The following is a 13,375-nucleotide window of genomic DNA, read 5'->3' on the forward strand; positions in this document are numbered from 1 at the left end:
TCATGGGTCATGAAGAAACTCAGTGCTTTTAAACTAGACCTCTGAAAGATCATTAGTTCACAGCCACAGAACAGACACTTGCAGATTTCTCCCAACAAAATGCTTGCTGTTTGCTTTCTTCGTTTGGAAAACATTACAGAGAAATGCCTATAAAACCAGGTAGACTGTCTCATTAGAGGAAACTGACTTGATCTGAAGAATGGGGGAAAAAATCATGACTGTTTATAGTGGACAGTACAACTGAGACGTTAGTAATGAGCAGGGCACCAAGAACAGGACCAAGACTGTCTCCTCCCTCTCTGTTTTAAATCGTGCTGCACTCAGTTTATGTTTTCAGGGGCTTTGTCTTATAGGGATACTGATTAATGTAAATGAATACTCACAATTTAGCACACAAAAATCTTATTTTTATCAAATCAAAGGACAAAGGGAAGGGAGAACAAGAAATTTAACTGGTCAACTTAGAATGAATGGGCTCTCTTGTTTTAACCTTATTTCCCTTTCTGGAGAATAAAAGTAATGATAATTATAATTAAAGCAGTTTTCATGTGTGGTTTATGGAAGTCATTACTCTATTAGTCATGCCCCATATCTATATAGGATTTAAAATTTTTAAATTATACTTGGTGCAGTATTCACTGAAAGTCTTTTTCACCTGTAAGCTCAAATTCCACGGTGAAACAACATTAGGTAGAAGGACAGTGACCAGGGAGAGATAAAACAACTATGATACCACGTTGCCTGTCTATTGACCTCCCTGTCTATGGTATCCTACAATCTCTAATGTCAATATGGTCTATAGTGGCTCTGAAATTGTCTCCTATTTCCCAGGAAATAGGCTATACTTTAATCACTGCAACCAAGTTAATTGTGAAGGACAAAAAACTTCTGAAACCAAAAACTTTTAGGATGTAAACATGTCTAAAAAAGTGTTTGATGCCAAACTGACATTTTAAAAACAGAATTTAACACGTTGTAGCAAGCAGAACCCATTTCCCCTTTTCCAGCACAAGCCATCAAGTTCTGTTTGGGGCTTCAGCCTCCCAAACTCAGTTGGAGAAATCTTACAGTATGAAAACCCAAGAGACAGAGGCCACAGCCTGGACCAAGAGACCAACCAGAGCCAGAGAGGCTCCTGAGAAGACCTGCAGCACAGGGTAAAATATGCAAGGGAGGGCCATATAACTTTTATCTTTACTTAATTTATTTTAATTTACTAATTTTTAAGTATTAACCTATTTTATTTTTATTAAATCTCTGTGGTTGCACAGAATTCAAATTGCAGCAAAAATCATTCAGGGCTAAACACTGGAAAAATCTCTTAATTCTAAGGTACATGACACAATGGACTCAAAAACAGTTGCTGAGTCCCTTTCACTGGAGAAATTTAAAGAAAGGGTATAGAAAAGTTTTGACCAATTCCACCCAATCCTGCATCCCCAATTCCAATCTCAAGGACCAGTTTCCATCTGATCTCTCTCCACCTACAGATGGTGGTCCTGAATCTCCAAATCAACAAACCAAAAACTGAATCCATCATCTTCTCACACCTGGTTTTTCCTTCCAACTCCCTCATTTCTGTGACCTGCCCCATAACCTTACCAGGAATCCAGCCCCCAAAGCAGGGTGGACTCCTCCCTCTGCAATGGACACCAGGATTCAGGTCCTGTTGCTGGCTCCAAAATGCCCACAATGCCCTGTTCTCCCAAATCAGCACATTCAACAGTGACATAAAGGAAAGAGTTAGATAGAGAAATGATATCTGGTGCTGCTCCACAGCTAGCTGTGTGATTCTGGGCAAGCCATTTAAATTCTCATTCTTGGTTTCATCACCTATTACGTGAAAAGGCCAAATTATTTCTAAATTCCAAGCTCTATGGGATTTACAGGATTTGCATCCACTTCTCTTGATCCCCAAAGCCACTATGTAGCTGAAGCCACCATCATTTCCCAACCAGATTAGTACACTCTCTCCCAGTGGATATTTCCTGCCTCTAGTCTTGTGCTGCTCCTCACCCCCTGAAAGCACCTGTCTAGGTTACTCACCTCCAGAAACCAGTCAAAGGCTCCGGGGAAAATGACCAAACCTGTCCCTGTGGCCCCAGGGCCCATGTGATCAGAACCCTGTCTCCCTCTGGCTTCCCTGGTCTACTTTCTGTTCCTCATATGCTCCTCCATCACCCAACTACCTGCCCCCTTTGCCTCCGAGCCTTTGCTTCAATACCCTGCCCATTTCCTCAGTCCAGAGAGATTCTTGCTTAGTCTCTAGGCAACGTTTCCTCATCCCCTCCCCCACCCCACCAGTCTGATTTAGGTGTCCTTCCTGTTTACTCGCAGGGCACACCTTTGCAGACCTCTCAGAGGCCTTGTCACTGTAAGTATCTGTTTATTTTGTCACTATCCTTCCCCCAGACTCTCAGTTCCAAGTGAGTGGGGACTGCTGGTCTCGTCTACCACCCATGGCACAGACAGCCGGTTCTTGCCCAAACTCTATAAACAGTAGCAGTACTTTTAGCTGCACATGGCCACCCAGAATAAAGATGAGATTTTCCAGCCACCTGCAGCCACGGGGTGATGTTCTAGCCAATGAGATGTAAGCAAAGTTATCTGGAGGCTGTTTCTGGGAACTTCCCATAAAAGAAAGCACCATCCGCGCTTCTACTTTCTGTTTCTTCTTACATCCTGCTGCTCGGAAGACTGAGGCCACACTAAGCCTGACAGACGTATGATGAGCAAGGAATTTACGCAGGGTCATACTAGCCCTGAACCATCCACCCTGCCTTTCATAAGAGATACACACTTCTACTTTGTTTTGGGATACCATTATTCAAACCACTATTATTTTGGCATGTCCATCGCTGCAGCTGAACCTAACTGCAACATACACAGCCATACCCGTAGTATAATAATAAACTACCTGTTGATTCGAGTATATACCTCATAATTCCTACTGAGTCTTTTTACTGGTAACTGTATTGTCACGTGTAGGGTCCACATTCCTTAGCAGAGGCTAACACAGACAAATGACCAACACTGAGTGGGTTTAAGTGATCAACAAATACTGACCAAGTGGCTACTGAGGCAGATAAGCTCTGTCCGACATGTATGGTGTACTTTAGCCTGGGCTCAATGTTGCTGCCAACCAAAACAAGGTTAAATAAGAGGGCCAGGCCAGGCACAATGGCTCACACCTGTAATCTCAGGATTTTGGGAGGCTGAAGCAGGCAGACTGCTTGAGCCTAGGAATTCAAGACCAGCCTGGGCAACACGGTGAAACCTTGTCTCTACCAAAAATATAAAAAATTAGCTGGGCATGGTGGTGCTTGCCTGTAGTCCCAGCTATGCAGGAGGCTGAAGTAGGAGGGACACCTGGGCCTGGGAAATTTGAGGCTGCAATGAGCTGAGATGGTGCCACTGCACTCCATCCTGGGCAATTGGAGTAAGACTGCCAGTTTCCATGATCATTTTATTATGGAGTATTTGAGTGCCTAGACATCAAAGTTCACCCTATTCCGTCCTTGGGAACAGTGCCACCAGACTGGTCTATCATTGGTATATTCTACCTGAAAGCCCTAACAGGTAATATGCAGGTAAGCAAGGCCCTTTAAAATAACAGCACATGTCATCTCTGCTTCTAGGGCAGCTGGGATGTCTAGCAATTTTTTTTAACCTTAAAGACCTTCAACCATTGTTTACTATAAAGGTAAACCTTGATCTTTTTGATGGGCTTACTGCTATGATTTCTGGTAGTGAGCACAGGCACCAGGGCCTGCAAATTTCTTGGATTCATAGCAACAGGGGTGAACCACCAGCAAGGTCTGGTGAGGGTGTCTTTGATCTCCTCGGAAGCCTCATCTACATATTTTGGGTAACAGGGTACCAGGGCTTTGGAGATGTACTGAAGGACAGCATAAATCTGAACCACATGACCACTACCCTTCACACGAACATGGATGTCCATTCCAGCAAGCTGTTCCTTGTCCAGAAGCAGACCTAATTCCAGTAGCTTGTATTGCAGTGTGAGCAGCTTGATCATCTCCAGGGGCCCCTCGTTCATCCTGATGAAGCCACTGCCACATCTGCAGAGCACCACAGCTATGGCCATCTCCTTGTATGTGAAGATCTGCACAGACTGCAGCCAACGAGTCCTTAGATGGCATGTCTCCAGGCATAGGTAAGAGCTCCTCATTGCACCATGCCACAACAGGAAAAGGTGTCTAGCAATTTGTATGGTCTGAGAGCTGCTGGTGTTCTACTCCTTCAGCTGGAAGCAAGGCAACTGGCCTTCTAAAGTCTCCTGCCCAGGTAAGCTCTTCATTTGTGAAACATTATGTATTCTCAGGCTATCAAGGCATACTCAGCTTCACACAGCCATTAGCACATATTATAGGACTGGTTATATTTGAAAGGTACATATGTATTTAGAGAAACATTCAGGCACGTAATTGCTAGATACCTACACTATGTGCCAGATAAACATGGCAGACACTATGCAAAGCACTATACAGGTACAACCTCATCTAATTTTTAGGAATCAAGAAAACAGAGGCAAGGAGCCAAGGAGAAATTGTAGTTGTCCAGGAAGGATCTGACATGCTATGGAAGGCTGGGGCAATGTGGGGAAGGGGAATAAGCTTAGAAGGACAGAGAGTATGAATGAGTAATACTTGGTGACTGACAGTTGAGCAAAGTTTGGTAAAAGCATGGTTGATGAGAGAGGAGAACACAAGCATTGCTTCCAGCTTAATGGCTTGGGCAAACTGGCGGAGGATGGTGCTCCTGACTACGTTGGCCAACAGGGGAGGTATGTGGGGCACCCAACGATGAAAAGTTATGAGTCTGGAGCTCAAAAGAAATAGATGGGCTAGAAATAAATATCTAAGGGTGGATGGTGGGTGGGTGGATGGATATTTGAATCCATGGGGCAAGTAGATCATGCAATGAGATTTGGTCTTCTGACAGTACTTTGCAACTGTTTGCCTACATTTTAAATTTAATACGCCAGTCCCATTTCTTAAAAAGATGGTAAGTTCAAGCCTGAACTCTGTACCAGGGGGTCAATGAAAAGTACTTACCTTACTGTCACTTGTCACATCCAACTTCCCTTGGGTCACACTGAGCCTATTCTAAGCCCTTGCAAAGGAAACAAAAAGAAGCTGCTTTTGTTCCTACTCCTTGCAAAAGGAAGAAAAGGCAGCTGCTCTGAAAATGAAACCATCACAATATTTATCACATTCTCCTAGAAACATGAGGTCCTGGGATAATGTCTTTATGGGTCTCTCTGGAGAAGCTCAAAGGGCACCTGTTTCAAAGGGCAACTTCCTTCTTGGATGAAGCATCTTGTAGAGAAGACAATCAATGGCCAAGGTAGGTAACAGACACCAAGATACTACACACGCCTCTAATGGTTCCCTTAAAGCCTGAGCTTAAGCAGTCTGGGCTCTACTTCAATCATATTCTAAACATCTAAACCAAAAGACTGCAATTGCAAATAACAGGGAGACAAATATTCAAAAGGCTTTTAAGCAACATTTTCTGCTACAGGCAACTGCTGATGGTTCTTATCTGAGTGCAGTCTCTTAACTGATGTGATTACTTGAATATTCAAAATAAATTATCATTTGAGGAAATTATCAATTGAGTTCTCCAACCTAATTTGTGCAAAGTATACAAAGGCAGTGATACCTTAAGCTGAAATTAAAAGACGGTGGAGAAACATAATAAAGATTAGTTATGCAACCCCCCAAACGAAAATGTCTTAAAAGATTTTAATTCAAGCCTGTGTAACATAAATAAGGCATATAACACAAAAACACATTTCTTTTTTAAAACTCAATCTACACGCCCACATTTTATAACTGTTGTTTGGGTGTGAGGGTGAGTGAGGAGAGGGAGAAGCAAAGTTAAATGTGTAAAAAATGGGGGAAAATCCTGCTACAATACAGCATTTTTCAAAGGGACACACAGTCTAGCAACTGTGTATTCATCTCCTCTATAGCATGTCTCTGAAACCAACAGTTGTTTTATCACCTGTTCAGATTCCATGTGAATATATAAGCCACCCCATGAATTTTGTGATTCTCTTATTTTAGGAATGCTGATACTTATAGCCATTACAATGTTGCCAAACCTAGTGTCCCACACCCAGAAAGAAAACTCAGTTCTGAAAGAGTCTAAGGATCCTAAGAGAACTGAAGGTGGTGGCAGACTTGTCTATAGCCTGAACACCATGGCCCAGCACAGTGGCCCTTAATGGGGCCTTGTATCAAAATGACTTAATGTCATTCTCTATCAGAATGTTTTCAAAATATAGTCACGCATCGCATAATGACCTTTAAATCAACAATGGACCACATATACAATGATACTCCTGTAACATTATAATGGAGCTGAAAAACTCCTATTGCCTAGTGACATCATAGCACAATAAAACATTTGTGGTGATGTTGGTGTAAATAAACCTACTGCATAGCTAGACCTGTAACAGTATCACACATAAAATTATGGACAGTACATAATGCTTGATGCTGATGATAAAGAACTATGTCATTGGTTTATGTATTTGGTATACTATACTTTTTTATCATTAATTGAGTGTACACCTTCTAATTACATATTTTAAAAAGTTAACTATGAAACAGCTTCAGATAGGTCCTTCAGGAGGTATTCCAGAAGAAGGCATTGTTGTCATAGGAAATGACAGCTCATGTGTGTTACTGCTCCTACAGACCTTTCAGTGGGACAAGATGTGGAGATGGAAGACGGTGACATTGATGATCCTGCCCCTGTACAGACCTAGGCTAATGTGTATGTTTGTTTTAGTTTTTAACAAAAAAGTTTAAAAAACTTTAAAAGGAGAAAAAAAGCTTGAAGAATAAGGATACGAAGAAATAAAATATTTTTTTTGCAGCCATACAGCCTGTGTTTTAAGCTAAGTATTATTACAAAAGAGTAAAAAAGTTTAAAAAATTTATAAAATAGAAATGTTACAATAAGCTACAGTTTATGTATTAAGGAAGAAAAATATATATTAAAATAATACATATTTTTAAAAAAACTTTTATTATAAATAAGTAGAGATGGAGTCTTGTGATATTGCCCAGGCTGGTCTTAAATGCCTGGTCCCACCTCAACCTCACAAAGTGCTGAGATTACAGACATGAGCCACCACACCTAATCAAAAAATATTTTTTATAAACCTAATGTAGCCTAAGTATACAGTGTTTATAAAGTCTAGAGTGTACAGTAAAGTCCTAGGCCTTCACATTCACTCCCCACTCACTGACTTACCCAGAGCAACTTCCAGTCCTGCAAGCTCCATTCATGGCAAGTGCCCTACATAGTTGTATCATTTTTTATCTTTTATATTTTTACTATATCTTTTCTTCATTTAGATATACAGATACTTGCCACTGTGTTACAGCTAGCTACAGTATTCAGTACAGTAACTTGCTGTACAGGTTTGTAGCCTAGGAGCAATGTGGTATATCATATGCCCTATGTATGTGGTAACCATCTAGGTTTGTCTAAGTACACTCTATGATGAACACACAACAACAAAATTGCCTAAGAGTACATTTCTCAAAAAGTATTCCCATTGTCAAGCTATACATGACTTGTACGACTTGTACACCTGACTTACATTTTCACCCAAGGGAGATCAGGCAATCTGGAGATAGAGGCTCCCTAAAGAATGTGAGTGTCTTTCCCTCCCGTCTGCATTTCTCTGAGCGTATATACCTTGTAAATCAAACCAGATGGGGCTAGGACCGGGTAAGGAAACCAATGCTGGATGCCCTTGGCCAGTCATACTAATCCAGCCACACTAGACCAGTCAGGCTAGTGAACACTGACTCAACTGGGCTTTTGAACACTGATTTCTTACACTAACAATTGTAAGCTATTCAGTGTGTACGCTTCTGATTTTCCCCAAAAAAGAGGTTTAAGTTCAAAATATCTAAAATAAGGAGTAATGGAAGAAACAAACGGTCACCCTTTCAAGTATTGATCATAAATGTTATTCCCTATTAGCTTTCTTTATCTAAACCTTTATTTAGTTACTGTCAACAGAAGCTATATGTTGATTATACCGTCAGCCTCCCAGAATGTAACGATGAATAAGAAACTCAACCTTGTTTCCTCTCATGTATCTAAAGCTGCAAATACAAAGATCACTACTTAGGTCTGACAGGTGTACAGCACAGCAGGGTGGCCAAGATTAGAGTCTTTAAGCCAATCTGCCTGGGTTTGAATCCTGCCTCTGCCACCTACTAGCTGTGGATATTTGGACAAGTGACTTAACCTTTATCTTAGTTTCCTCATCTGTAAAATTGGGGTCCCTACCTCGTGGGCTTTTGTGAAGCCACAATGAATTAATACATGTTGAACACTTCAGAAAAGTGCCTATTATGTGGTACCAAGCAGCTATATTCAGTACCCATAGAACAGCTTTGTTCTCTTTAAAATTTGCAGAATATTCCGTTGCCCAGCTGTAGCATGATTTATTCTTTTCAAGGACATTTAGTCTACTAACTCTTCCAATCTTTTGCTATTAGAAACAATGCTTCAATAAACATCCTATATAACAGAGAGACGTTTTTACTATGCTAATTAAATTAAGTCAGTGCCCCACCTAACTTTCATGTACAATACTGATAGTTTTAATACCCTCCAAAGTAGGCACAGGATTATCACCTTCCAAGTTCTACATAGATTCTAGGGTCTCAAGGAGGTAGAGTGACTTACCTGCTGAAGCCCACGCAGCTGTTAAGTGGCAGAGGTGGAACCCCGCATAGGTGCAGGCTGCCAACCCAATCTGCTTCCCACAGCTGTCCTTACTTAAAAGAAGTACAGGAGGTATTCTTTTAAATGCACCTCAGATCCATCACAGAGATTAATATGCAGAAGTTCGGACAGAAGCAAACTCAAATTTTCACACAGATGCTTCTAACAAATACAGCTGATGGAGGCGTCAACGACTTCTGTAAATATTGAAGTATTATTTCTTCTGCCAAAGACTGAAGCAGAAGTACCCTGAATACTACCCCTAGGGAGATACATCACATTTCAAACTCCCCTGGAAGCAAATGAATAATTACTGAATTTGGTATCATGAGAACTATTCTTCAGGGAAGGAGAAATTCATAACACTCACTTTGTTGTAGCATTTGCTGTGCCAAGACCAAAGAGGAACAAGTACTACTCTGGGGTTCAGAAACTCATAAAACACAGACCTGAGTGGCCAATTCGCCAGCATGGCTTCAATTAGGTCTGTTCAGCATGGGCTTATAAGAGATTAATTCTGACAGGATGAAATTGTTGACATGAGGAAAAGGATGGGGTAAATGTGGAACTTAACAGAGATGGAACCTGTGCTCGCAAGAGGGTGCCTACCTAATATAACCATAAAGATTACAGTTTAAAATCACAGGTATATTTCAATAAAATTGTTATTCTCCCAATTAGAGAAAGCATGCCAGTATCAGCACTAAAAATCTTAAAATAAATCAGAAATTTTTCCCTAAATCCCAGTCAGCCAGCAGACATCAAATAAAAGGTAAAAAAGTCCAATCTAATAATAAGGAATACTAAGACATACTCATGCCTGAATGCAATTACAACTGTACTTCACACAGAACTGGCAGAAGAGGATGGAGGAGCAAGAGTGGGAATTTAGTCTTTCTAAAAGGTCACCAAGTATGAATATTTTAAATCCAGAGACTACACAATTCTAAAAGTGAATGCCTACAAGTCCACTAAAAATGTTACCATGGAGCAAACACGCCAGTGGGAACCAAAAAGGCTGGTAATAACATTTACGGGTTGAAACTGGGGTTGGTGGTGAGGGTTCCTATTGCAGAAACTGAAAATCAGGTCAGGATAGGCCAGAACATCTCCAGCAGTGATGTTTTAATCTCATAAAGAGAAAACCAGCAGCTTGCTGCTGCTGCTGCAATCTCCATCAACTGTTCTGACATTTTCCCTCCCTCCCTCCCTCCTTTCCTTCTTTCTTTATTTATTTTGGGACAGAGTCTGGCTCTGTCACCCAGGCCGGAGTGCAGTGGTGTAATCACGGCTCACTGTAACCTCCGCCTCCTGGACTGAAGTCATCCTCCCACCTCAGCCTCCCAAGGAGCTGGGACTACAGGCATGTACCACCACATCCAGCTAATTTTTGTATTTTTTGTACAGATGGGGTCTTGCCATATTGCCCAGGCTGGTTGCAAACTCCTGAGCTCAAATGATCTGCCCACCATGGCTTCCCAAAGTGCTGGGATTACAGGTGTGAGCCACCGTGCCCAGCCAACATCTACCTTTCTAAGATCTAAATGATCTCACTTTCATTCTCTATCCCTGGCCAAACAGAAACAAAACAAAAATAAAAAATAAAATTTGCTCTAGGCAAAAATGAAAATAAAATTTAATCTTTCATTTTAAAGGAAAAGAGACCAATGCTCAGAGTTGATTTTCTTCAAGTTAGGACAAGAAACCAAGGCAGCCAGATTCTATACAAGAATGAGGCACCCTACTTAAACAATCATGCCTTCCAATCTTCTCAAATTACTTCAGTTTTAATAAACACACAAACATGTATGTACTTTACTATAAACCTGTAACGTGAAGCTACATGTGTTTTAATAACTATCATGGGAGCAGAGGTAACCCAGCTGGTGGAAGAAGCCCAGAAGCCTGGCTCTGCCAGCATCTGGCTGCACCACCTTTGGTAACATTGGGGCTTTCCTTTTCTCACCAGGGAAAAGTGTAGGAGGCATCCCAATTCTGTAATATTAAAATGTGGAAAGTTACCTGCAGTGATTTTAAGATGCCACTGATTATAAGCTCCATCTCTACCCAGATGTGAAATGTGAAAAGCTGACAATAGATGAAATGTGGTAGAAACATGTTCTTGCAGAAAGGCAACCAAAAAAATAGCTAAGACAAAGGTTGGCCGTGAAGAGGAGGAATTGGAAGAAACAGCTAGTCTGGATATCTATCTAGGCTGTGGGGCTATTTCCATCTGATCACAAAGCTCCCTCTTCTCTTTGGAAGAGTATCCCTCCTCTTGCTGGCCCTCAAATCCAACTGGTCTTCAAGTCTTATCCTGGACACAGTCTCTCACAATTACCTCTCTCAAGTCTGTGCTCATGGCTGTGGCTTCAGGTCAGGCCTTTTCACTGCCCTGGCCATCTCTAACAAACCCACAACAATCCACCCTACACTCTAACAAGACTGTCTTTCTGGAGCACAGCACTCATAATGTCCTCATTCTTATTCAAAAGCTTATTGGTGGTATTCTACCAAACACCTTAGGAGACGGAGCAGGCCAGGGTGTCAAGGTGATCTGAGCTGGAATGCTTTGTGACCCCAAATCAAGTGTCTAAACTCTGGGCCTTTTTCCACCTGTAAAATGGGAATGCTGTAGCATCCATTAATAATAGAAATAAGTCCTTGTGAGGGGCTCAGTGCAAGGTCTGACATACAATAGCTCAGTAAGAGTTAGCCATTATTATTACATCAATAACTTGCCTTTCTCACCTTTTCTTCCACTCCTGCCTTCTAAACCAGCTTCTGCCAATTGTGCTATTTGCTTTTTGCCCAATGATTCCACACTCGCTTACTCTCCAAACTCCCTCTTGCCTAGAACGCATGTCCTCCTATTCCTGCCTATCAACTAAGAGTCCTTTACAAAATGTAAGGCTAAATTCTAATTTTAATTCAAGTCAATTTAGTTTAATCCAATCATCCATTCGGTCCTTAAAACAGACGCTGTAGCTGACTTCCTGTGTTCTGCAGGCCCTTCTTAAAGGTGAAGCAGCTAGCTGAGGAGATTTAACTTCACTTCCCTGGTTCTGGGATGGGCCCCCAGCTTATCAAATGTCCACTGTTCCAGTTATTGCTTCAAGTAACCAAGGCCTAAGTCAATCACCTTAAGGTAAAGGACTCTTTGGAGGGTGGCAGGAAGTCAGGGAATCCCCATGTGAGATTATGGTGGCAGCTGCTGTCAGTCATCTTGGAAAATCAGTCTAGGACATAACAGACATCTGAGGGGACTTCAGAGAAATGGAGCAAAAGTCCTGCCCTCAGGACTTTTCAGGTCAGATGCACAGGTAGGTCTCAGTTGGGTTTTCTGTTTCTTGCACCAAAAGCATCCTGACCAATTCAGGAATGCTAGGCCCTTAACATGGATAGCTCTGCCATAAAGCTTTCTCAGATATAAAGATATAAGTGTCCCAGAAATCTGCTTCTGACTCTCTTTTGGTCCAAGGTGTAGATTAAGTATGTGTATACAGGCTTAAAGTATATACTAAATCAGGAAACCCTCTGGAATCAGGAACTGTTGTAATTCATTTTTGTATCCAGCCCCTCACACCCAAAATCAGTAACTGAGAAGTCAATGAATTAATTTAAAAAATGAATCAAGTGTGGGCTACAAGGAAGGGAACAGATTTTAGACAGATTTAAGAGACAATAAATTGTTAGTCTTGGATGGATTAACAAGAACCTTTAAACACAAGGTTAGATTTTTAAGTTGTGGAGTAACAGTGTTACATAATGGCACAGAGCCCACTGGGCAAATAATCCTGGCAGCACAGGGATATATGAAGGAGCAGAGATGTTGCAGGAGACAGAGCTATAGGAATTTGGACAAGTCACTTGTCATCTCTAGGCCTTAATCCTAGAGATTCTTTTTTATTTTTCTTCCACTTTAAGTTATGCGATACATGTGCTGAACGTGCATGTTTGTTACATAGGTATACATGTGCCATGCTGGTTTCCTGCACCTATCAACCCATCATCTAGGTTTTAAGCCCTGCGTGCATTAGGAATTTGTCCTAATGCTCTCCCTCCCCTTGCCCCCCACCACCCGATAGGCCCGGGTGTGTGATGTTTCCCTCCCTGTGTCCATGTGTTCTCACTGTTCGACTCCCACTTATGAGTGAGAATATGCAGTGTTTGGTTTTCTGTTCCTGTGTTAGTCTGCTGAGGATGATGGTTTCCAGCTTCATCCATGTCCCTGCAAAAGACACGAACTCATCTTTTTTATGGCTGCATAGTATTCCATGGTGTATATGTGCCACATTTTCTTTATCCAGTCTATCATTGATGGGCATTTGAGTTGGTTCCAAGTCTTTGCTATTGTAAATGGTGCTGCAATAAACATACGTGTGCATGTGTCTTCATAGTGCTCCTCAATTCTTAAAAAACAACTGGGGGATAAAACCTCACAGAGGTGTTATAAGAATTACGTGTGGAAAGCAACCGTTTATGTACATGTGCGTATTAATAAGTACCTGACACAGAAAGCATTCAAGGAAAGACTTATTTACAGGTAACTAATGAGAGGATTAGCCTTTTGATAACAGAAGAGCTGGTA

General features: G+C 41.5%; 1 protein-coding gene and 1 pseudogene across 6 annotated transcripts in view, besides 1 other annotated feature; both read right to left on the reverse strand.

Annotated features, from left to right (window-relative positions):
• Positions 1 to 13,375, reverse strand: part of ELOVL5 (ELOVL fatty acid elongase 5) — an 81,547-nt gene that overhangs the window by 65,805 nt on the left and 2,367 nt on the right. The gene's annotated exons all lie outside the window — the stretch shown is intronic.
• RPS16P5 (ribosomal protein S16 pseudogene 5) lies at positions 1,252 to 4,409 on the reverse strand (annotated as a pseudogene). The gene has a single exon (NR_046241.1). The product of NR_046241.1 is annotated as a ribosomal protein S16 pseudogene 5 (transcript).
• Positions 2,585 to 2,714: an enhancer, noted in NCBI's record as "active region_24697". NCBI's record gives its function as "activates an Ori minimal core promoter by ATAC-STARR-seq in GM12878 lymphoblastoid cells {active_cell/tissue: GM12878}" and the evidence as "EXISTENCE:reporter gene assay evidence [ECO:0000049][PMID:35858748]".

Source organism: Homo sapiens, chromosome 6 (genome assembly GCF_000001405.40).
Source record: "Homo sapiens chromosome 6, GRCh38.p14 Primary Assembly".
NCBI classification, from domain to species: Eukaryota; Metazoa; Chordata; class Mammalia; order Primates; family Hominidae; genus Homo; species Homo sapiens.